Source organism: Homo sapiens, chromosome 3 (assembly GCF_000001405.40).
Source record: "Homo sapiens chromosome 3, GRCh38.p14 Primary Assembly".
NCBI classification, from domain to species: domain Eukaryota; kingdom Metazoa; phylum Chordata; class Mammalia; order Primates; family Hominidae; genus Homo; species Homo sapiens.
This window is the reverse complement of record NC_000003.12, coordinates 33085330-33110689: the sequence shown is the minus strand read 5'-3', so window position 1 is coordinate 33110689 and position 25360 is coordinate 33085330. Positions and strand designations below refer to the sequence as shown.

Below are 25360 nucleotides of genomic sequence, written 5' to 3'. Positions count from 1 at the left end.
TCTGTCGCCCAGGCTGGAGTACAGTGGTGCGATCTCGGCTCACTGCAACCTCTGCCTCCCAGTTTCAAGCAATTCTCCTGCCTCAGCCTCCTGAGTAGCTGGGATTACGGGCGCCCGCCACCACAGCTGGCTAATATTTTGTATTTTTAGTAGAGATGGGGTTTTACCATGTTGGTCAGGCTGGTCTCAAACTCCTGACCTCAAGTGATCCACCCATCTCGGCCTCCCAAAGTGCTGGGATTACATGCGTGAGCCACTGCACCCGGCCTGCACCTGGCTAATTTTTGTAGTTTTTAGTATAGACAGGGTTTCACCATCTTGGCTAGGCTGGTCTTGAACTCCTGACCTTGTGATCCATCCACCTCGGCCTCCCAAAGTGCTGGGATTACAGGTGTGAGCCACCACGCCCGACCCTAAAGTTTTAAAATATGGAAAAACACACAATGTATTATTTAGGAGTAAAAATAATATAGTCCTACCTTATACAGGGTAAAACTATATTGAAAAGAGAATGATAGGCTGGGCGCGGTGGCTCACACCTGTAATCCCAGCACTTTGGGAGGCCAAGATGGGTGGATCACTTGAGGTCAGGAGTTGGAGACCAGCCTAGCCAACATGGTGAAACCCTGTCTCTACTAAAAATACAAAAAATTAGCTGGGTGTGGTGGCACATGCCTGTAATCCCAGCTACTGGGAAGGCTGAGGTGGGAGAACAGCTTGAACCCAGAAGACAGAGGTTGCAGTGGGGCGAGATTGTGCCACTGCACTCCAGCCTGGGCGACACAGCAAGACTCTCTCAAAAAAAAGAAAAAAGAAAGAAGGAAGGAAAGAAAGAGAGAAAGAGGGAAGGGGAGGGGAGGGCAGGGGAGGGAAATGATAAACAGAAACTTAGGATAGTGGTTTCCAGTGAGGTAGGAGGAAGAACATGGAATGGCAGAGGGTCAGACGCAGGGGAGGGATTGGGGAGTAAATGTGAGAATGTTTATTGCGTCGTTACTTTTCATGCCATACATATATTTTGTAAATATTATTTTATATATATTTCGTGGTTTTATTTTTTTAAAAACAATTTTTGGAAAAAGAAAAGATTGCAGTAGTGATATGAAGAAAATTAAAAAGCTGAATGAGATGAGGTGGGGGAAGATTGGTTAAGGAGGTGGCATTTGGACAGAGACCTGAAAGAGGAGGGTGCCTGTGGAGAGAGCTGTGCTGGGAGATGGTGCGCAATGTGTACCTGATCCTAGAACATCTTACCCTGGAAATCGCCAGTAACTATCATTCCCAGTAGCAAAGAGATACAATTTGGAATCATCTCACACAATCACTCAATTGAACAAGATACTAAGCTCTGGCCACAGCTTCTTCCTCTGTCTTGCCCTTGCCTTACCAACTCCTGCCAAAGAGCCTTTGCCCAGGGCTGTTATTTCAGATTTGGGAGGCCAAGGTGGGTGGATCACCTGAGGTCAGGAGTTTGAGATCAGCCTGGCCAACATTGTGAAACCCCATCTCTACAAAAAATTAGCAGGGCAAGCACCTATAATCCCAGCTACTTAGGAGGCTGAGGCAGGAGAATTGCTTGAACCCAGGAGGCAGAGGTTGCAGTGAGCGGAGATTGTGCCACTGCACTCCAGCCTGGGCGACAGAGTGAGACTCTGTCTCAAAAAAAAAAAAAAAAAAAAAAAAGAGGCCGGGCAAGGTGGTTCACACCTGTAATCCCATCACTTTGGGAGGCCAAGGCAGGCAGATCACAAGGTCAGGAGATGGAGACCATCCTGGCTAACACAGTGAAACCCCATCTCTATTAAAAATACAAAAAGTTAGCCGGGCATGGTGCCATGTGCCTGTAGTCCCAGCTACTTGGGAGGCTGAGGCAAGAGAATCGCTTGAACCTGGGAGGTAGAGGTTGCAGTGAGCTGAGCCCACGCCACTGCACTCCAGCCTAGGTGACAGAGTAAGATGCGGACTCAAAAAAAATTTTTTTTTTAATTCCTGCCTTCTCCACATCCATGCCCCTTGGCAATCTCCACCAAGAGGAGGTTCTCCACCAAGAAGCAGAGTCAGTTTCTCCACCCTTTGGATGGGGTTTGGATGTGTGATTTACTTTTGTCAGTGAGACAGCAGAAAAGGTCCCAAATATGCACTGGGACTCACCTCTTTCATGGTACTTGGAACCCTTCCTTCATGTGCTTATACCTAGGCTAGCCTGCTGAAGGTTGAGAGACATGTGACCCAATTGTCTTTCCATTGTTTCTGCCACTTCTCAATTGTATGCGTCAGGCCATCCTGGATCATTCCACACCAGGAGTTTCACCAGCTGTCTGCAGAGGCATGGGAAGTCCAGTAGAGCCAAAACCAGAAGAATCGCTCAGCTGACCTGCGGAATCATGAACTAAATAAACGATTGCTGGCTGGGCGCAGTGTCTCCCGCCTGTAATCCCAGCACTTTGGGAGGCCGAGGTGGGCAGATCACCTGAGGTTGGGAGTTCGAGACCAGCCTGACCAACATGGAGAAACCCCGTCTCTACTAAAAATACAAAATTAGCTGGGCATGGTGGCACATGCCTGTAATCCCAGCTACTCGGGAGGCTGAGGCAGGAGAATCGCTTGAACCCAGGAGGCGGAGGTTGTGGTGAGCCAAGATTGCGCCATTGCACTCCAGCCTGGGCAACAAGAGTAAAACTCATGTCTCAGAATAAAAAAAAGATTGCTATTGGCCTCTAAGTTTGGGGGGGTAGTTTGTTACATAGCACTAGCTAATAGATGCATTGACGAAAAGTTCAAGAAGGATAACTGTTCTTTCTTCTTATATTGCTCCTTCTCTTGTCTTTGAAGTCAGTTTGAGTCAACCTGGTGAGATTGATGGGGAGAGACTGTTGTATGTGCACTCTGGCCTCTGCTGAAACATCATTGGGTCCTGGTTGGTCACCATTGATAAGTCATTCCCCATCTCCTTTAGCCAAGGCCCCTCAGGTCCATCAGCTCTGTGCTACATCCAGACCACTCAACTTTGACAATGGAGTTTGGGGAATCTCAGGGAGCTGGTTGGATCCCAGGCTACCTCCAAATATCACAAGCCAATGCATTGCTCCCAGAGAAGATGGGTGGAAGGAGACATAAAGATTACAAGAGACTGAGAGAGGGCCACTGTGGAGAGAGCATAAAGCATAAAGAAAGGGAGTGTGGGCCGGCAGAAGTCAGGTGGAATTGCCTTTGAGGAGCAAGGCTGTCTGTGGACAGGTGGAGGTGGAGGGAACAGTTGCTTTCCATTATAATTCAATAGAATTTTTTTTAATGGAGTCTCACTCTGTTGCCCAGGCTGGGGTGCAGTGATGCGATCTCAGCTCACTGCACCCTCCACCTCCCATGTTCAAGCAATTCCCATGCCTCAGCCTCCTGAGTAGCTGGGATTACAGGTGCACACCACCACGCCTGGCTAATTTTTGTATTTTTAGTAAAAACGGGGTTTCACCATATTGGCCAGGCTGGTCTTGAACTCCTGACTTCAGGTGATCCACCCACCTCAGCCTCCCAAAGTGTTGGGATTACAGGTGTGAGCCACCATGCCTAGCCAATTCAACAGAATTTGTAAAAGGAAATGAAACCAGATGTCTAGTGTGGCTGCCTTCTGCTTGAGTGGCTGGTTAGCCTCATTAGAGCTTTGTCTAAGGGTGTCTCCTCACCAAAGAAGGCAATGTTCCCCCAGGTGACTTAAGTGACAAATTCTCTTTTATATCGTGAATTTATTCATTCTTTCAGTACACTGTTCAGCATCTACCTTTTACCAGGTCCTGCACTTGGTGCTGAAATGCAAAGATGAAACAGACATACTTCCTTGACTGTGTAGTAGAGGAAATGCAATATTTATTTATTGTTTCATTTGTTACATAAACCTATAGCGAATTGTATTCCAGATGCTATATTAAAGAAATGATATCAACTTTTGCCTCAGAGAACTCAAAATTAGGAAATGACAGATAAGTAAACCTTTAATCACCCTACTGATGGAGCTGGAATAGAGATGTGGACAGAGTACTTGTGGGGACCCCAAAGAGGGCTGGGTAACCTAGTCTGAAGGTGAGTCTGGAATGGCTTTTCCAAGCGGCCATGCTTGAATTCCTTTAAAGAATATGAAAAGATAGAATAGAAGTTGACTGGAGACAAAAATGGAAAAGGAAGAAGTCTGTTGGCAGAGGGCACAACATATGCAAAGGCTTATGGGGAAGAGAGTGTTGGGCCTGGGAGCCATAAAGCAGTATGGGAGACTCCTGAAGTGATTCCCACAAGAAATGGGAGGGCCCGAATTGAAGCACAGAATATAAAGACCCATAACACAGATAAAGAAAAAAGATAAATGTCAAAAGTTAGGCCAAGCACGGTGGCTCACACCTGTAATCCCAGCACTTTGGGAGGCCGAGGCAGGTGGATCACCTGAGGTCAGGAGTTCAAGACCAGCCTGGCCAACATGGTGAAACCCTGTCTCTACTAAAAATACAAAAATTAGCCGGGTGTGGTGGTGGGCGCCTGTAATCCCAGCTATATGAAAGGCTGAGGCAGGAGAATTGCTTGAACCCAGGAGGCCGAGGTTGCAGTGAGCTGAGATCACTCCATTGCACTCCAGCCAGGGTGACAGAGTAAGACTCTATCTCAAAAAAATAAATAAATTAATTAATTAAATAAATAAATGTCAAAAGTTAGATGTATGTAGAACGCTACGAGAATTTCTGGAAGGAAAGAACTCCTTTAGCTAGTTCAATCAGTGATTACTTCATTTTAAAAAAGGCATTAGGTCTGGGATTTGAATTGGGGATGAGCTATAAACCCATAATCCTTAAAACAAAATCTAACAGACTTCCCCAAAACCCTAGGTTGGAGAAAGCTCAGGAAGTGCATAGGTTGGAGAAAGCTCAAATAGTTCATCATGTTGAGCAACTGATTATCTCATCTTGAACTCTCTAGAAAACAGAGCCTGTGGCAAGAACTAAATACTAATCCTGTATTTGGGAGGTACAGTGCACGACAGTGACAATGAGAAGAAAGGGAAATGAGGCAGGAAAGGAGGAGAAGTGGTGCCAGGTAGTGAGTTACTGTGCAGGCTAGTGCTTCATGCCAGCCTTAAAGACACGGAGACAGTTTGTTGGCAGGTGCACCCACTATACCATGTGGAATGTCTCTGGTCAGAGAAACCACATCTTGAAATAGTTCAGCAGAGGGGGGAAGGCAGAGGAAATTTATTTATTGGCTCATCTCTGGTCTTCCACTGCACTGGGCTTCTCCATGTGGGAGTTAACTTACCTGCCCTTGTGGGTACCACCACCTAGCTAGCGTCTTTGGCAGCCACTTGGGAAGCATGGTGCCTCATTCCAGTGAGTCCAGAAGAGTCTGGAGGAGCCAGAGACTCCAGATGGTTGGCTTTGGGTGGCATATGTGCTGCAGCAGTAGCTATGGTAGAGAGGCAGCTGAGAGTTCAGGAGAAAGGTGACTAGAGAATCTAGGCATCATAGAGTATGTCGTATACAGTAATCATGGAGGTTCGACCAAATTACCACTGAGACTCTGACCCAGAAGTTGCAAATGTCAGTTTATTCTACCTTGGGGCCCACTGCAGTTCATGTCAAACAAAAGGCAAACCAAAGCTAGGTGTGATGGCTCACACCTGTAATGTCAGTGTTTTGGGAGGCTAAGGTGAGAGGATTGCTTGAGGCCAGGAGCTCAAGACCAGCCTGGGCAACATAGCAAGACCCTATCTCTACAAATAAAACAAAAATTAAAAAAAATTTAAAAAGCGCATATCTGTAGTCCTAGCTACTCAGGAGTATCTCTTGTGCCCAGGAGTTCAAGGCTGCAGTGAGCTATGATTGCACTACAGCCTGGGCAACAGAGTGAGACCCTGTCACTACCCAAAAAAAAAAAAAAAAAAAAAAGAAAGAAGTGAATCAGATGGAGAGGGCTGCCAACTGGAGAGACATATTCTGCCTAAGGAATGTCCCAACTCGTATCTCTGGAGTACTGTTACCTCATGGGATCTTGGGCCTGGCGTGGCCAGACCTTCTGATCTTTGAAGAGAAACTGGAAATCCATATTATGTAAATTCCCCTGATTAAATGTTGACAACTACTGTAATTAAATAAAATCAAACACACTGGTGGGTCAACACGGACAGTGTCAAATCAAATAGCTTTTCTGGCCACATCTAGTTTTAACCTTCAATCTAGCTAGAAAACTACTATGATCATTCACAGAAGGAGGGAACCACAACTGCAGGCATGGCTACAAAAACAAAGAGGGTGGGCTAGCTCCAGGGGTCCAGGTGAAGAAGAAATGACAGGCTTTGGTGGTAGATTAGACATGAGGGGGAAAAAAGAAACAGAATAAAGAAATAGGCTGGGTGCGGTGGCTCATGCCTGTAATCCCAACACTTTAGGAGGCTGAGGTGGGTGGATCACCTGAGGTCAGGAGTTTGAGACCAGCCTGGCCAACATGGTAAAACCCCGTCTCTACTGAAAATACAAAAATTAGCCAGGCATGGTGGTGTGCACCTGTAATCCCAGCTACTCAGGAGGCTGAGGCACGGGAATCGCTTGAACCTGGGAGGTAGAGGTTGCAGTGAGCTGAGATCGCACCACTGTACCCCAGCCTGGGCAACAGAGTGAGACTCCATCTCGAAAAAGAAAAAGAAAAAGAAAAAACAAACCTGCAAAGATGCATCTGAGAGACTCTGGGGAGCAGATGCCCATGACAGGAAGGTGACAGACAGAAGACAGGAGAGAAGAATGTTTGAAGCAACATCTTTTTTTTTCTTAAGGCAGGCCTCACTTGAGGCATTTTATGTTTTCAGATATCTCAGACTCCCAGAGGGTAAGCATGGGGAAAAAGTCATCTCAAAACCTGTGACTACCATAAGGCATAGTCCTGTACCTCATCACAGCTATCAATTTTTATTAGGAACTGTAGAGAAACTGTTGGCTGATGATTTCACAATTTTTTTGTTGTTGTTTCATAACCATACCCATCAAATTGGTTGCACGACTTAACCCCAGGACAAGTTAGGTTTCAGGACTTTTTGCATCAGAAAGCTCAAAGACGTGTGAGGAGGCTAAGGAATTGCTGCACAGCAGAATTGCCCACATTTGTAGGCCAGAGACCTCGTTATTTTCAGTTTTTTAAATAACTTCTAATTTTGACTTAAGAATTATTGTATGCTGTTTACCTACTTCATCAATTGTTAACATTTTGCTTTATTTGCTCTATCACTTGGTCTCCCACCATTTTCATGTAAGGTACATGTGTATTATGTGTAATATATAATTATATGTATGGAAGTATAAACATATTATTATAGTTATCATATGAGAATAAGGTGTAGACATTATGCTCCTTTTTTTTTGAGATGGGGTCTTGCTATGTTGCCCAGGCTAAAGTGCAGCAGCTATTCACAGGCTCAGTCCCACTACTGATCAGCATGGGAGTTTTGACCTTCTTGGTTTCCAACCTTGGCCAATTCACCCCTCCTTAGGCAACCTGGTGGTCCCCTGTTCCCAGGAGGTCACCATATTTATGCCAAACTTAGTGTGGACACCCAATCGGCATAGCGCACTACAGCCCAGAACTCCTGGACTCAAGCAATCCTCCTGCCTCAGCCTCCCGAGTAGCTGGGAGTACAGGCGTGCAACACCACACCTGGCAACATAATGCTCCTTTACTCCTGTGTAATTCTGGGTGTATTTCCAAAGAACATGGCCACAATATCACTTATCGAAAATAGAAAATTTAATATTGAAACAATATTATTTTCTCATCCATAGCCTATATTCAACTTTTGTTAATTTTCCCAATAATGCTCTTACCGATTTTTTTTCCCCTGGTCTAAGATCCAGTCTAGGACAATGTATCACATTTATTTGCCTTGTCTTTCTAATGGAGTACATGTTTATTTTTCTTGCCTTTAATGTGTGTAATTTAATACTCTTTTAAAACCTATTCCAAATTATAATCACTTTAATGGCATTTAAAAAATATTAGAAATATAAAATTAGGCCGGGTGCCGTGGCTCTCACCTGTAATCTCAACACTTTGAGAGGCTGAAGTGGGCGGATTGCTTAAGCCCAGGAGTTCAAGACTAGCCTGGACAATATGGGGCAACCCCATCTCTACAAAAAGAAAAAAGAAAAATTTGCCAGACATGGTGGCCTGTGCCTGTAGTCTCAACTACTCAGGAGGCTGAGGTGGGAGGATCACCTGAGACCTGGAGTTCAAGGCTGCAGTGAGCCATGATCACGCCACTGCACTCCAGCCTGGGCAACAAAGTGAGACAAGAAAGAAAAGAGAGAGAGAGAGAAAAGAGAAAGAAAGAGAGAGAAAGAAAGAAGAAAGAAAGGGAGAGAGAAGAGAGAGAGAGAGAAAGAAAAAGAAAAGAAAGAAGGAAAGAAAGAAAGAAAAAGAAAAGAAAGAAGGAAAGAAAGAAAAAGAAAAGAAGGAGGGAAGGAAGGAAGGAGGGAAGAAAGGAAGGAAGGTAGGTTACATAAAATTTTTTATTGAAATGCAGGTCAGAACTGACACTGGGAATGAAAATTTGCTGAGTAGGAAAACTCCATAAGGGAAAACAGATCAAAGAAACTGAGTTTGATGATTAACTTGTGTGTAGAGCCCTGTTAGAACAGAAAAACAAAGCTTTCCTATGTTTTGGGGCCACACGTTTTTCTCCCTCTCATTGTTCTTATGCTACTGATGAGGCCTCTGTGCTTCTCAAACTATTTTTGGTAAAGGATGAGTTGTGTTTTTTTGTTTGTTTGTTTTGTTTTGTTTTGTTTTTGAGACAGATTCTCGCTCTGTCGCCCAGGCTGGAGTGCAGTGGCGCAATCTCACCTCACTGCAAGCTCCGCCTCCCGGGTTCCACGCCATTCTCCTGCCTCAGCCTCCCGAGTAGTTGGGACTACAGGCGCCCGCCACCACGCCCGGCTAATTTTTTGTATTTTTAGTAGAGACGGGGTTTCACCATGTTAGCCAGGATGGTCTCCATCTCCTGACCTCATGATCCCCCCGCCTCAGTCTCCCAAAGTGCTGGGATTACAAGTGTGAGCCACCGCGGCCGGACTTTTTTTTTTTTTTTTTAATTATTAGTGCTCTTTCCTGCCTATCAAGGATTGATCCTTTCATAAAAATTCAATAAAAATAAATTATTAGAAAAATAGGCCGGGTGTGGTGGCTCACACCTGTTATCCTAGCACTTTGGGAGGCTGAGGGGGGTGGATTGCCTGAGCTCAGGAGCTCAAGACCAGCCTGGGCAACATGGTGAAACCCCATCTCTACTAAAATACGAAAAAATCAGCCTGGCATGGTGGTGTGAGCCTGTAGTCCCAGCTACTCAGGAGGCCGAGGTTTAATTGCGAGAACCCAGGAGGTGGAGGTTGCAGTGAGCCAAGATCATGCCACTGCGCTCCAGTCTGGGCGACAAAGTGAAACTCTGTCTCAAAAACAAACAAACAAAAACTACTAGAGGCCAGGCGTGGTGGCTCACGCCTGTAATCCCAGCACTTTGGGAGGCCGAGGCAGGTGGATCACCTGAGGTCAGGAGTTTGAGACCAGCCTGACCAACATGGAGAAACCCCATCTCTACTGAAAATATAAAAGTAGCGGGGCATGGTGGCACATGCCTGTAATCCCAGCTACTCAGGAGGCTGAGGCAGGAGAATCGCTTGAATCCAGGAGGCAGAGGTTGCAGTGAGCCAAGATCGTGCCATTGCACTCCAGCCTGGGCAATAAAAGCGAAACTCTGTCTAAAAAAATAAAAATAAAACATTACTAGAACAATGAAATAAAAATAGATGCGTAATGATTTTGTTCATTATTAGATTCAACAGATAGACTTACTTTCTCAAATTGCTGCAAGTTTCTAAGTGCCTAGGCTGAATTTCTGTACTTATTGCACAGCACTGGTCTAAGGATCAGACTCTGAGAAGTATTAGTCTATATTAGAGCATGTACCATGTTTAGAGATGAGTGCCTGCAGGGTGACAGCCTTCTCATGGTCCCTTCATATTCTCCAGTATGCAGGGGGCTTTGCATCCAGCACACTCTGTCTGTGCATTTAAATGGGAACCAAACAGTACACTATGAGCAGAAGCATAGCCTTGTGAAAATAACTCAGGCCCTAACGTCAGGCAATGTAACTTTAGAGACTCTACTGCTCCCCAGCTCTGTGGCTACTGGCAAGTCATTTAACTCCTCTGGGTCTCAGCTTTCTCATCTGTGAAATGTGGATAAGAGCATGCAGCTCGGATTGGGAGGAATAGTGACACATACTGGTAAAGCATTCAGCACAACAATGGCTATTACTACTATTGCCATTTCAACTACAAACATAGTCAAATACTAAAAATCTCAGAAACAATCTACAATCTATATTCCTTTGGCAAGCTTATACTGTAAAGGGCTAGAACATAAATATATTCAGTTTTGTAGGTCCTAAGATCTGTGTTGCAACTACTCCATTCTACCGTTGTAGCGTGAAAGCAACCATATGCAATATGCAGAGGATTATAGGTGGCTGTGTTCTAAGAAAACTATTTATGTGTAATCTTGGCACTTTGGCAGCCAAAGTGGGCAGATTACTTGAGGCCAGGAGTTCAAGACCAACCCTGGCAACAAGGCAAGATCTTGTCTTTAGAAAAAAAAAAATTATTCAGGCATGGTGGCACTCGCCTGTAGTCCCAGCTACTTAGCTACTCAGGAGGCCGACATGGGACGACTGCTTCAGCTCAGGAGTTCAAGGCTGCTGTGAGCTATGATTGCACCACTGCACTCCAGCCTGGGTGACAGAGCAAGACTGTGTCTAAAAAAACAAAACAAAACAAAAAAAACAAAAACCAACCCCACAAAACTTTATTTATGGACACTGACACAGGAAACTTACAACATTTTCAAATGTCATAAAATATTATTCTTTTGATTTTTTTTCATTCATTTAAAAATGTAAAAACCATTTTTAGGTGGCAGGCCATAGAAAAACTGGCAGCAAATTGTGCCGATTCTTAGTAAAAAGAATTTTAAAAAGAAAAAGAAAAACAGGCAGCAGGCCAGATTTGATCCTCTGCCCTTAGTTTGCCAACTCCTGCTCTAAACCCTTTCTACCTCAGTTCAGTTAAAAATACCTATTGCATATGATAACCCTGAGTGTACAGAGTAGGAAAGAAGGTAGAAGAAGTTGAATCTGCCATGTGTTAAGGATTTTTGTTTTGTTTTGTTTTTAAACTTCGTTCTGCAATAATTTCAGGCTTAGAAACAAAAAGTTGAAAAAAAGAGTAAAAATAATTCCTTCATTGATTTTCCAAATGTTAACATTTTACCACATTTGCTTTTCTTTCTCACGTTCTTTTCATGCCTGGAATACCATTTCTCTCCCTCTCTCTCTCTCTCTTTCTCTCTCTCTCCATTTTTTTTTGTGAACTGTTTGAGAATCAGTTGCAAAGATGATGCCCTTTTGTTTCCTAAAAAACAAGGATGTTCTTTTATATAACCATTACCAAAATTACCATTACCGTTACCCAAATCAATACACTAATACAAAACTATTATTTAATATTTAGACCGTGTACCATTATCAAAATCAGAAAGTTAACATTGATGCGGCCGGGCACAGTGGCTCATGCCTGTAATCCCAGCACTTTGGGAGGCCGAGGTGGGCAAATCACTTGAGGTCAAGAGCTCCAGACCAGCCTGGCTAACATGGTGATACCCCATCTCTACTAAAAATACAAAAATTAGCCAAGCCTAGTGGTGGGTGCCTGTAATCCCAGCTACTTTGGAGGCTGAGGTGGGAGAATCACTTGAACCTGGGAGGCGGAGGTTGCAGTGAGCCGAGATTGTGCCACTGCACTCCAGCCTGGGTGACAGAGTGAGACTCTGTCCCCCCACCCCCCCAAAAAGGAAATTAACATTGATGCATGGTACTAATCTAACCTACAAGTCTAATTCTGATTTCATCAACTGTCCCACTAACATCCTGTATATACCAAGCTTCTTATCGTCATCATCTCTGGTAATTTCCCCAATTATCCAGTGAATTTGATATTATTAGCCCTGCTTTACCAACAAAGAAACTAAGCTCAGAGAGGTTAAGTAATTTGCCCACAGTTACACAGACAGTAAGTGGCAGAGCTGGAATTCCAACTCAAGTGTACTTCCTCCAGAGCCCTTGTTCTTTAATACTGAACTAGAATTGCAGAGCTTGGAAAGGACTTCACAGTGCAAGGACACGGAATTGGTACTACAGGCATGAAAAGAAGCCAGGCACGGTGGCTCATGTCTGTAATTCCAGCATTTTGGGAGTTCCAGGCAGGTAGATTGCTTGATCCCAGAACTTCAAGACCTGCCTGGGAAACGTGGTGAGACCCTGTCTCTACAAAAAATACAAAAATTAGCCGGGTGTGGTGGCGCACGCCTGTAGTCCCAGCCACTTGGTAGGCTGAGACGGGAGAATTGCTTGAGCCCAGGAGGCCAAAGCTGCAGTAAGCCGTGATTGCGCCCCACTCCAGCCTGGGTGACAGAGTGAGACCCTGTCTCAAAAAACACAAAAACAAAACAAAAAAACAACCCCCCAAACCAAAAAACAAAAACCTAAGAAAAGCCAGTAACTGATACTTTCTCAATCTCTCAATGAAATGTCCTTTCTGATACTTTCTCAATCTCTCAAGGACATGTCCGGTAGGAAAGGAGAAAGGAGTGAACAAATAGAATTTTGGCTACTTTGTTATACAATGTAAAAAGGCTTTTTGGAACACCAAGGCATAAACTAAGGTTATTTTAAAAAAGAAAATTTTTTTTTGATACGGAATTTCGCTCTTATTGCCCAGGCTGGAGCGCAATGGCTCGATCTCGGTTTACTGCAACCTCCACCTCCCGGGTTCAAGCGATTCTCCTGTCTCAGCCTCCTCAGTAGCTGGGATTACAGGCGCCTGCCACCACGCCCGGCTAATTTTTGTATTTTTAGTAGAGACGGGGTTTCATCATACTGGTCAGGCTGGTCTGGAACTCCTGACCTCAGGCGATCCGCCCGCCTCGGCCTCCCAAAGTGCTGGGATTACAGGCGTGAGCAGGATTTTCATTCTAACAAGTTCCAGGTGAGTTGATACAGTGGCTCCAGGGACCGACCACATTTTGCTAACCCCCGGCTTAGAGTTATTCAAAGAGCCCGTATATGAGACGCGGATTCCATCTAGGGCGTTTAGGTTTAATGATTAACAATTTCCCTCTTCTGCTCTCTCAAGGCAGCCAGGGAACAGGGAGACCATGATTCATGTCCAATCCCCGAGGCGCGTTATCAAGCTGCTGAAAGCAGGCCCTCCGGACTGCAGTTCCAAAGGGTCCCTTCCCAGGGAAGACGCCTGCAAAACCCAGATAGTACTATCCTGGAGTCACGCGGCGGCGCGCAGCCTCCTAGCCGCCCCCACCCGCCCGGCTCGGCCACAGCGGGGCGGGGCGCGGGGCTGAGCAGGCGCGAGGGCTGGCTGCTGGGCCGACGAGGGGCGGTGCCAGGCCGTGGGTCCTTAGTCAAGTGACGCGAAGCGGCCGGCCTGGGCGCCGACTGCAGAGCCGGGAGGCTGGTGGTCATGCCGGGGTTCCTGGTTCGCATCCTCCCTCTGTTGCTGGTTCTGCTGCTTCTGGGCCCTACGCGCGGCTTGCGCGTAAGTCTGCGGGACCCGGGTACGGGGAGGCATTGCTAGGGGACAGGCTGGCGGGGAACCGGGCTGGGGTCGCAGCCACCCGCGGTCCCGCAGGGCGGGGAGCCTGAGCCCCGAAGTGCCCCCCAGCAGGCTCGCGGCCGGCGGAACGCAGGCAGTGGACCGGCCTTCCCGTCGGGGGCGGGCCGGGCGGGGCGCGCGTCCTTCCAGGCAGCTCGGTCGCTTGTGCGTTCCGCTCCGGCCGCCCTTTGCGCTTGGATCCACTTCCCCATCTGTAACGAGGTGTTGAGACGAGGTGCGTGTAAACATTTCCTAAGTTGGCTTTCCGGGAGGGGATTCCAAGTTGCGCGGGTTAGAGGGTGCCTCCGGCTCTGGTTTGGGGCGCCCTCGCTTTCCCAGTTGGTGCTCTGCGGAGCGCTCCGGAAGGAGAAAAATGGGGTCAGGAGAGGCCCTTGCAGTGGGAACATTGGGTTATTTCCCCTCTGGGTGCTCTCCCTCTTCGTGCATCTTGTTCCTTTCTCACCACTCCCCGTCGCCTGCCCTTTGGCTTGGGTTTTTCTTTGTATTTGTGGGACCGTTTTCCTTCGGCGTTTGGGGGTCCAGGTTGAGGGGGGGAATAGGCAGGCTGCCGGGGGATGCCATCGTTGATCGGGGCAGGGCTGGCGAGGCGAATAGGTGAGGTGCGGGGCGTGCACAGTTGGTGGGAGAGGAAGGACAGCTTCACTCGCTGCGTCCGAGCTGAGGCGACTGGCTGAGGGGCTCCAAAGCGCTGCCTGGGGAGGTTTGCATCACACCTGCGGAAAGGAGAGTGGGTAGTTGCAAGCTGCTCCTCTGCACGTTCCGCGGACCAACTTTGGTTCCTCCAGGGTGTAGGTGGGCTGAGCCTGCAGTATGCTTTAAGTAAGAGCTGGTAGCATTTGACACCGTTGACTTGTAAGTTACACCCTTTAATAACGCTTTCAATAACGTGCCTAGGGCAGAGAAAAGTGGTACATTTATCTACAACCAAGATTGAACATCTTAAGTATTTGGAAAACAGCTGCTGAAAATGTTTTCATTTTGGGAAAAAGTCAGCACAGATTATTTGCTGCTCCCTCTTCACCCCGTCTGTGGTTCCCCTACCCCAGTATGTAGACAGAGTTTTCTTGTCCAGAAGGCCCGTAGGACCTTAGGAGTCAGAGCTAGCCAGCTGTGAGAACCACTGGGGAAGGTGGAACTGGGGCACAGTTCAGGAGAACAGTGGCAGGGTAAGGGGCTAGGGGAAAGGCAGATCTTAACCAGTATCTGGGAGTGGGGGTAGGGAGAGAGAGAAGGATTTATGAACCAGGAACAGGTGGACAGGGTCAATCTGTCTGATGTGAGCTCATCAGTCTTGTGCAGCGTCATTGGGTCAGGGTGGATGCCCTGTGGCTGCCATACCTGAGGCCCACACAGGGAGGCTGGCATCACCCCAGGAATTCTCATTTCAGGTGCCTAGGTGTCCCTCTTGGGCTTCTGTGCCCACAGCTAAAGAAAGATACCAGCAGTCTAGCTTTCCATTATCTCCTTGTTTACATTTCTTTAGGGTTCACGCCATTCTCCTGCCTCAGCCTCCCGAGTAGCTGGGACTACAGGCGCCCGCCATCACACCCGACTAATTTTTTTCTTTTTTTGTATTTTTAGTAGAGACGGGGTTTCACCATGTTAGCCAGGATGGTCTCGATCTCCTGACCTCGTGACCCAGCGGTTCTCAAATTTTAACTAAATTTTAGCTGTCCTAGAAATTAAGAGAATATTCCTTTTTTTTTTTTTTTTTTTTTTTTTGAGACAGAGTCTCGCTCTTTTGCCCAGGCTGGAGTGCAGTGGCACGATCTTGGCTCACTACAACTTCCACCTCCCAGGTTCAAGTGATTCTCCTGCCTCAGCCTCCCGAGTAGCTGGGATTACATGCATCCACCACCATGCCTGGCTAATTTTTGAATTTTTAGTAGAGACAGGGTTTTACCATGTTGGCCAGGCTGGTCTTGAACTCCTGACCTCAGGTAATCTGCCTGCCTCGGCCTCCCAAAGTGCTGGAATTATAGGCGTCAGCCACTGTGCCCAGCCCTAGAGAATATTTTAAACTATTTGTTAAGAAATACTACATCATTACACGTTAATAAACAATATATATATTTGAAAAACAATAGTATTTCTCCCCAAATTTTAGGGTGAAGAGTTGCACTGTTTTACATTTCTGCAAATCTCTTTCAATGTCTCTTAATAGAAGACAGTCAAATTTTCATGTTTATTTCTGCATTAAATCTGTTGCCATATCACATGTCACATAGCCTCTGGAAGACTCCACCCCCTCAGGACAGAGTGAGAATGGAAAAGGCAGTAATGGCTTGGAATTATAATAAAAATAGTTTTGACTAATTGGACCCCTGAAGGGCTCTCTCCAGACCACACTTTGAATACCGCTGATTTGGAATGTTTTTATAAAACAAGTACATGCTTACTGTAGAGAAACTTTAAACGTATAGAACATGTGGTAAGAAAATGAAAACTGCCCATCATGTCACAATGCTGTGAGTTTCTTTTTGAATAATAAAGTATAGCTAGCAACTGACTGGTATTTGAGTAGCTTGGATTCAAGGTGGGTTGGGCAGATGTAAGTGGCCTTTGAGTTTTGAATGGGTACAAGGACACTCTAATATCCCACAAAGCTGATGCTGGTTCCTGGTTGCAGGCGGAGTTGACCTGGAAACCTCTCCTTGGCCACTGTCCTTTCTAAGGAACTCATTTCCAGAGTCCACCAGCACAGAACTGGTGGGGGAGCCTACTAGGAGCAGAGAAAATGGCCATCTTCAGGCAGCTGTCCCTAGGCGCGAAGGCCACCCTGGCTGCTGTCACTGTCTTCGTGTCCATGATCGCCTCCCGCTCGTATCTGGCAGAGAGCCTTGAGCTCAGGGCCTGGCGTTGGCTGCTTCGCTTGCAGCTTGCCCTGTTTGTCAACTCGCTCTTGCTCATTGGCTCCCTCTACATTTGGCGCAGCACAGTGAGCAACCTCTGCCACTCCCCAGCTGCAGAGTCAACCTGTTTTCAGCTTTGGAAGGTGGTGGTTCTGGCATTTCTGGCCCTGGCCCATTCCAGTTTCTTTACCATGTTCTTTTTAGTGGCCGAAGAGCCCTATCTCTTTTCCTTGGCGGCCTACTCCTGCCTGGGTGCTTACATCATCATGCTCTTCTTCCTCTTCATCCTCAGCGGCATGGAGCAGGCCTACCAGCTCTTGGCCTGGCGCAGTGGTAGGGTCGTGGGCAGCCTTGAGAAGACAAGGAAGCTCGTGCTCAGGCCTGCCCTGGCAGTGGGAGTGACTGCTGTGCTCAGCGTGGCCGGGATTCTGAATGCCGCGCAGCCCCCGGCTGTGAAAACTGTGGAGGTGCCCATCCATCAGCTGCCTGCCTCAATGAACAACCTCAAGATCGTGCTCCTCTCAGACATTCACTTGGGCCCCACAGTGGGCAGGACCAAGATGGAAATGTTTGTGAGGATGGTGAATGTGCTGGAACCAGACATCACGGTGATTGTGGGTGACCTCTCCGACTCAGAAGCCTCGGTCCTGCGGACGGCTGTCGCTCCTCTGGGCCAGCTTCATTCACATCTCGGTGCCTACTTCGTCACAGGCAATCATGAGTACTACACGTCAGATGTCAGCAACTGGTTTGCACTTCTGGAATCCCTGCATGTCCAGCCTCTTCATAATGAGAACGTGAAGATTTCCGCCACACGGGCCCAACGTGGTGGTGGTGGCAGTGGCAGTGGGAGTGAGGATGAGGACTGGATCTGCTTGGCTGGGGTGGACGATATTGAAGCAGACATCCTGCACTACTCTGGCCATGGCATGGATCTTGACAAGGCCCTGGAGGGCTGCAGCCCAGACCACACAATCATCTTGCTAGCTCACCAGCCCCTGGCTGCCAAGAGAGCTCTCCAGGCTCGGCCAGATATTAACCTGATCCTTTCTGGGCACACACATGCTGGGCAGATCTTCCCCTTGAACGTAGCAGCCTATCTCCTGAATCCCTTCTTTGCTGGTCTCTACCAGGTGGCCCAGGCTACATTCGTGTATGTCAGCCCAGGCACAGCCTACTACGGGATACCCATGAGGCTGGGTAGCAGGGCCGAGATCACAGAGCTCATCCTGCAGCGGTCTCCCTGAACTGGCCCTGCCCTGTGCACCTCTGCCCTGCCCTTGTCCTCGACCCTCCATCCTGCTTCAGAGTGGTTTGCCTGCTTTTCCCCTCCAGCCTTGCCCACTCATCCTTGCCTACACACCCTTGGTCACAAGCCTGACTCAAACAGTGACTTATGGTGGGCCTGCCTGGCATGTTCAGGCTGGTTTAACTATTTCCTTGGCCAGTTGCTTTTTTTGATGCACTTGTGAGATCACTAAGGTCACATATATTAGCACTCCCCTCTATTTTCCAGATGATGTGGAATGGGGACCTTCTCCTGCAGAGCTCCCAGGGATGAACCTCCCCTCGGGGTTGCTAGAAAGGCATACCTCTAGAAGGTGGGGCGGGGAGGAGCAGGAGCATTTTTCTCCTGGTGTTTTAAAATTGTCTTTAGGACTTAAGTGGTTTCCAGAATCATTGATCCAGAGCCTTTCTGGGGAAGGGGTAGTGTTGCCAGGTAATTTGGGAGAACAGGCAAGATGGAAGGGCCCTCTGGCTGCTAGAGAAGAATATTTTCTTTTCCTCTGATTCTATCAGGATCACCTCTATTGAGGGCATCAGCAAAATCTACTGGAATGCAAAGCTCCTCCTGTTCCAGGCCTTGAGGGATGCTATTTAACTGTCTGTGCTCCTGGGCCTTTGGGGGCAAGGTCAGGGGAGAAGAACGGTGGGCGCCATGGTCGGTGATGGTGAGAACATGGCTGCTTAGGAATTCAGAGGGCTTTGCCTCCCTTGTCTCATTTTATACAACCCTTCGGGGAGCTCACTGGGGACAGGCTGCTTTTCCCTATTTGGAGATAAGGAAACCAAGGCAAAGAGAGATAGGGCACAGGCAGTATGACAAGATATGTAGGAGATTTGGGGCTAGAAACCAGGTCTTGTACCTCCCAGTAAAAGCGGTGCTTTTGCCCTTTTGCCAGAAGCAATAGATCCTTTGATCCTGAGATGGAGATAAGCACCCGTGTTAGAAAAGGCCTCACTGAGAAGACAGGGCTGGGCTGGTTTCCTGCTGGGTGATTTAGGCTTGTGATGGAAAGTCTTCCTCCAATGGGGAGTGAAGACACTCGCTCTGACTGGAGAGGCTAACCCTGCTGCTCACTCATAGGGCAGCGTTGGGTGGGTGACTTTCCCTCACTCAGCCTTGGTTTCCATCAACCCTAAAATGGGGATAATTATCGTATCTACCTCAAGATTGTTTTGTCAGGAGGGATCCATCAAGCCTTGTGCATGAGTTCCACATGGCACAGCGTGCACAGTAAACACTCAATGTTAATTTTTCAACGTTCCAGTGGAGCTTGCTAAGGAACTCTGTTGGGCACAGGTGCCCAGAGGATTCATGGAGCAGCCAGTCCTGGGGAATGTGAGTGGGTAGCGAGCTGCCTGCTGCTGGGGCAGGTGATGTGTCAAAGCAGCAACTGCTAGGGGTTTGCCTTCCTTCCCTCATGTGCATTCTGGCAGGCAAAGGGGGTTTCTTCCTTTCCTCCTTGTCCTCCTGGTGTATAGTGGGGTTCTGGGGGATCTGGAGACCACCCTTTTTGTTCCCAGGCAGCCACGGTATTGACAGTGGGCCATACCATGCAGTTTAAAATGTATCTTTGAGTTGAAATTTTGGTGGTTTCCTTATTCTTTTTTCTCTCTTCACTGTCCTTCCAAACTCACTTTTCTTGTGTCCCGACCGCATTTTGTGAATCATCCTTACTCCCTTTAAGTTCTCGCTTTGGATTTCACCAGGTGGGCTAGATGGTGCCATTTCACTTCCACTGTTTGATGCGGCTGGTAATGTTTGACTCACCTGTTACGTGTTATTTCACTGGTTTCTTGATTTTACATCTTTCTCATCAGTGACCTGGGCTTGATGAAATTAGCTTTCATTAAGTCCTATTTTTTTTTTAATTTTGCATCCTTACCTCTTTTCTTTCTCTTGAATGCCATCATTGTGTGGTCTTATGTACCCTTCATCCACTCTGAAGTCCTTGCTTGACTGATTGCTTTCTATTAGCAGAAAGAAAACAGGTCCATCCTATGTATCTGAGAAACAACATCAACACCCTCTCGTATGTGGTTTGTATTCCCTGACGCGGCGGACATTTTTGCAGCAGAAATTTCTCCATCACTGTCCAGATTCTGGCCCTGGTGGGCAGGTCTCCATGACACCTTTAGTCCCTTTGTTCAACATTCTTAAACCATGGACCTTTTTGTTTGTTTGTGGCCGGGGGAGGTGGTGAGAAACGTTACTTGAAGCTTGATCATTCTTTCAATTTCATTTGTTTCTTTATTTTTAATCTGTTAGATGCAAATTGAAATGCAATGCTTTTTGAAAATCAGCAATAGTGTCTGTAGTATATGATGCTGTCACAAAATCTCAATAAATTGATCCTGCTGCCATTCCTTCCAAATACCCATCCATGCTTTTCTTCCCCTCGTGTTTTGTTTGGTTTGTTTTAAACTTTTCGTACATGTACCTCTCTCCCAGCTTTAACAAGCATGACGAGACCACTCTGCCATCCTTTCTCAGCTACCCCTGCCCCACCTGTACTCTTTATTTTTTGGCTGGAGTATATTAAGGTAAATCATAGAAAACATAATGTTACCCCAAAATTACTTCAGTATGAATCCTTTTTCAAAAAGCATAGCTATAGTGTCATTATCATATCCAATGAAATTAACAGTGATTCTTGAATATCATCTAATAGCTAGTTAGGAGATTTGGGGCTAGTAGCCAGATTTTTGACCTCTTTAAAGAAGTGTTCTTTCCACTCTCTGAGTATTAAGTAGCTGTATCTGTCACAAATGAGTACAGAATTCAAATGCAGTTAACTGTGTGAAGAGTTAGTGTTTAGTTTTTCCTGATTATCTCAACTATATTTTTTATTGTGGCAAAAAAATTACTATCTTAACCATTTTTTTTGTTCTTTTTGTTGTTGTTGATCTTAACCATTTTTAAGTGAATAGTTCAACAGTGTTAGGTATATTCACATTGTTGTGAAATTGATCTAATTGATCTGTAGAACTTTTTCATCTTGCAAATCTATATACCCATTGAGCAACAAGGCTCCATTTCCCCCTTCCTCCAGCCCCTGGTGACCACAATTCTACTTTCTGTTTCTATGAATTTGACTGCTTTAGATACCTCGTATAAGTGAAATCATGCAGTTTTTGTCTTTTTGTGGCGGGCTTATTTCAGTTAGTATAATGACCTTAAGGTTGTGGCACGTGACTGGATTTCTGTCCTTTTTAAGGCTGGACTACAGTAATACTCTTGTATTTTCATGCCACATTTTGTTTATCCATGTTGAGCATGTTTTCATGGGCTTGTTGGCCACCTGTATACCTTCTTTGGAGAAATGTCTATTCAAGTCCTTTGCCTATCTTTAAATCAGGTTATTTAATTTATTGTTGTGGAGATGTAGGAGTTCTTTATATATTCTGGACATTAACCCCTTATCAGATACGTAATTTGCAGATATTTTCTTCAGTTCTGTACATTGCCTTTTCACTGATTGTGACCTTTGATGCACAGAGTTTTAAAGTTTAATGCAGGCCCATTTCTCTATTTTTGCTTTTATTTTGGCATCATATCCAAGAAATCATTGCCAAGTTCAATATCACGTAGCTTTTTTCCCCATGTTTTCTTCTAGGAGTGTTATAGTTTTGGGTCTTACGTTTAGGTCTTTAACCCATATTGAATTAATTTTTGTGTATGGTATAAGATAAGGGTCCAACTTCATTCTCTTGCCTGTGAATATCCAGTTTTCCCAGCACTGTTTTCTGAAGAAATTGTCCTTTTCTAACATCAAGAGATCTTGGCATCTTTGTTGAAAATCATTTGACCATATACACAAGAGTTTGTTTCTTGGTGTTCTATCCTCTCATTGCTCTATGTCTGTCTTTATGTCATTACCATGCTATTCTGATTACCACAGCTTTGCAATATGTTTTGAAATCAGGAGGTATGAGTCTTTCAACTTTGCTCTTCTTTTTCAAGACTTTAGTCTATTTGGTGTCTGTTGAGATTCCATATGAATTTTAGGATAAATTTTTCTATTTCTGCAAGAAATGCTATTGGGATTTTTATAGGGATTGTGTTGAATCTGTGAATCACTTTGGGTAGTATGAACATCTTAACAATATGAACCTTCCACTCCATGAACATAGGATGTTTTTTCCATTTGTTTGTGTCTTCTTTAATTTCTTTTTAACAGTGTTTTGTAGTTTTCAGTGTAGTCTTTCACCTTAGTTAGGCCTATTTCTAAGTATTTTATTCTTTTTGATGCTTTTATATATGGAATTTTTTGAAATTCCATTTAGGATTGTTCATTTTTAGTGTATAGAGAAGCAACTGATTTTGGTATGTTGCTTTTTGTATCCTGCAACTTTGCTGAATTCATTTATTAGTTCTAACAGTTTGTGTGTGTGTGTGTGTGTGTGTGTGTGTGTGTGTGTGTGTGTAGTCTTTAGGGTTTCCTACATCTAAGATTATATCATCTGTGAATCGATCATTTTACTTCTCCTTTCTAATTTGAATGCCTTTTATTTCTTTCTTGCCTAGTTGCTCTGACTAGGACTTCCAAAACTATGTTGAGTAGAAGTGGCAAAAACAGACATCTTGCCTTTTTCCTGATCTTAGAGGAAAAGCTTGCAGTCTTTCACTATTGAATATGATGTTAGCTATGGGCTCTTCACATGTGGGCTTTATGATGTGGAGGTAGTTTTCTTCTATTTTGCATTTGTTGAGTTGTTGGTTTTTTTAATCATGAAAGGGTGTTGAATCTTGTCATGCTTTCTCTGCCTCAATTTAGATTATCATGTGGTTTTTGCCCTTCAATCTGTTAATTTGGTGTATTATATTGATTGATTTTTATATGTTAAACCATTCTTGCATTTTAGGAATAAATCCCACTTGATCATAGTATATAACCCTTTTAATGTACTGTTGAATTCAGTTTGCTAGTATTTTGTTGAGGATTTTTGCATCAATATTCACCAGGAATATTATTGTTCTGTAGTTTTCTTGTAGTGTATTTGTCTGGCTTTGGTATTAGGATAATATTGGTCTCATAGAATAAATTTAGAAATGTTCCTCCTCTTCAACTTTTGTAATAGTTTCAGGAGGATTGGTATTAATTCTTCTTTAAATGTTTGGTAGAATTCTCCAGTGAAGCCATCTGGTTCTAGGTTTTTCTTTGAGTGTGTGTGTGTGTGTGTGTGTGTGTGTGTGTGTGTGTGTGTGTGTGTGTGCGCGCATGCTGAGACATGGTCTTGCTCTGTCGCCGGGGCTGGAGTGCAGAGGCATGATCTTGGGTCACTGCAACCTCCACCTCCCAGGTTCAAGCGATTCTCCTTCCTCAGCCTCCCAAGTAGCCAGGACCACAGGCACGCGCCACCACACCCGGCTAATTTTTGTATTTTTAGTAGAGACGGGGTTTCACCATGTTGGCCAGGCTGGTCTCAAACTCTTGACCTCAAGTGATCTGGCCGCTTCCCCCTCCCAAAGTGCTGGGATTACAGGCGGGAGCCACCGTACCCGGCCTCTTTGAGGTTTTTGATGACTGATTCAATCTTTTTAATAGCTATTGGTCTGTATAGATTTTCTGTTTCTTCATGATTCGGTCTTGGTGGGCTGGGTGTGTCTAGAAATTTATCCATATCTTCTAGGTTATCCAATTTGTTGGCATACAGTTGTTCATGCTATTCTCTTACAATTCTTTATTTCTGTGTCATCAGTTATAATGTCCCCTCTTCATTTCTGATTTATTTATATCTTCTTTTTTTTAAATCTAGTTAAGTTTCTCAATTTTGTTGATTTTTTTTTCAAAAACCAACTGTTTTTTTTTCCTACTATCTTTCTATTCTCTTTTGTTTATTTCTACTCTAATATTTTATTTCCTTTTGCTAGCTTTGGGTTTATTTTTTTCTTCTTATGGAATTGTCTTTTTATAGTTATTTTGTTTGAAACAGGATCTAAAAATAGGTCTATATTTTGCCTGTGGTGTATTTCTTCAGTCTCCTTAAGTCTATAACATCCCCTTTTCCTTATTTTTTATCATTTATTTGTTCAAGTTATCTGGGTCATATGTCTTAAAATTTTATACATTTTAGATTTTGGTGTCATTTAACATGTTCATATTTTCTGTGAGCTCATAGAGCTAAAGCTCTCTAAAGGTTAGAGCTAGAGGCTGGTTGGATTCAGGTTCAACTTTTTCGCTTTTTGGGTAGGAAGAATTCATTGCTTCACTGATATTAAGATTGACCTGTTGGTCCAGGTGTTGTCAGCTTGATCCCTCCACTAGAAAATTCCGCATTATCTTTCCATTTAATGTTTCAGCAGTCATTGGTGATTGTTGCCTAATGTCATTATTTCACTAAAGATTGCAGAATAGTGATTTGTAAAATTCTACCCTTTTTTTCCTGCATTTACTGGCTATGGATCCTTTACAAAGAACTCTCCTCATTAATTATGTGGTTACTCTGAAAAAGCCTATAACAAAGGCAAGACAGATACCAGATTCTTTCACTTGATTCCTTAGTTTATAGCATAATGATCTGATACCACAGCAACCTCCAAGAATGACCAATAAGCTTTTCTTCTGGGTGGGTGAAATATTGTTAGGAATTTAGATATTTAGATATTTTATATATCTGATGTTTTTTAGTTCATCAAAGTGTTACATCTTTTAATACTCAAAATAGCCCATCTTTGGCCAGTTGGGACCTTTTCATTTTTCATTTTTTACTTTTTAGAGTCTTAGTCTTGCTCTGTTGTTCAGGCTGGAGTGCAGTGGTGTGACTGTAACTCACTGCACTCTCAATTTCCTGGGCTTAAGCGATACACTCACTTTGGCCTCCAGATAGCTAGGACTACAGGCATGCACCACCACCACCACTCCTGGCTCTTTTTTTTTTTTTTTGGTAGAGACAGAGTCTCTCTTTGTTGCCCAGGCTGGTCTCAAACTCCTGGCCTCAAGCAGTCCTCAGCCTCCCAAAATGCTGGGATTACAGGTGTGAACCTGTAATCAGCCTCCCAAAATGCTGGCATTACAGGTGTGAACCACTGCACTTGAGCTGGTTGGAGCCCTGTCATCTTGTCATTTTGATGAGACCCTAATAGTTTTGTTTTTTTTTTTAATCTAGCCCTGTTTTGTACATCTTATGCCACAGACTTGGATTAACTAATTTCTTGAAGAAGCAGCTTTGGTTACTTTTAGTGGGAAATGTTTGCAGATCACAATTTAGGCGCTATATGGGTTAGATTGCTACCCGCTGATATCATTTCCAAACTGTGTCTTTGGGTATTGCTAGGAAATGCAATACTTTTTTAGAGAGAAAAAAAATCATAAGTGTATACTAGTATTTACAATTCAAATAAGAGATTATGGATTTTATTGTTTTTTAATGGACTATATTTTTTAGAATAGTTGTAGCCTTATAGCAAAATTGAGTGGAAAGTACAGAGATTTTCCTGTATCTCCTGATTATGGGGTTCTTAAT

At 44.9% G+C, this 25360-nt stretch overlaps 2 protein-coding genes and 1 pseudogene across 7 annotated transcripts in view, besides 1 other annotated feature; 2 read left to right on the top strand and 1 right to left on the bottom strand.

Moving 5' to 3' along the window:
- Positions 7385-7682, bottom strand: RN7SL296P (RNA, 7SL, cytoplasmic 296, pseudogene; annotated as a pseudogene).
- Positions 13347-13956: a silencer, noted in NCBI's record as "silent region_14182". NCBI's record gives its function as "represses an Ori minimal core promoter by ATAC-STARR-seq in GM12878 lymphoblastoid cells {active_cell/tissue: GM12878}" and the evidence as "EXISTENCE:reporter gene assay evidence [ECO:0000049][PMID:35858748]".
- Positions 13544-20268, top strand: TMPPE (transmembrane protein with metallophosphoesterase domain). Of its 2 annotated transcripts, none has more exons than NM_001136238.2 (2): positions 13544-13971; positions 16902-20268. In NM_001136238.2, the coding sequence occupies exon 2, from the start codon at positions 16906-16908 to the stop codon at positions 17854-17856; it is 951 nt and encodes a 316-aa protein (NP_001129710.1). In that variant the 5' UTR covers positions 13544-13971; positions 16902-16905; the 3' UTR covers positions 17857-20268. The 2 variants fall into 2 exon arrangements, with proteins under 2 accessions (NP_001129710.1, NP_001034859.2); NM_001039770.3 differs by having other exon boundaries at positions 16387-20268.
- GLB1 (galactosidase beta 1) overlaps positions 13544-25360 on the top strand; it is a 136039-nt gene continuing 124222 nt past the window's right edge. For 4 of the 5 annotated variants that reach the window (NM_001393580.1, NM_001135602.3, NM_000404.4 and 1 more), the window contains exon 1: positions 13544-13679. In NM_001393580.1, the coding sequence (NP_001380509.1) occupies positions 13605-13679 (75 nt within the window). In that variant the 5' untranslated portion in view covers positions 13544-13604. Of the gene's footprint in view, positions 13680-13867; positions 13972-25360 lie in introns of those variants that run through there. The other variant, NM_001079811.3, reaches the window with a different exon arrangement.

Coding starts and splice junctions, on each gene's coding strand:
- TMPPE (NM_001039770.3), top strand. CDS start 16,495: ATGGCCATCTTCAGGCAGCTGTCCCTAGGCGCGAAGGCCACCCTGGCT.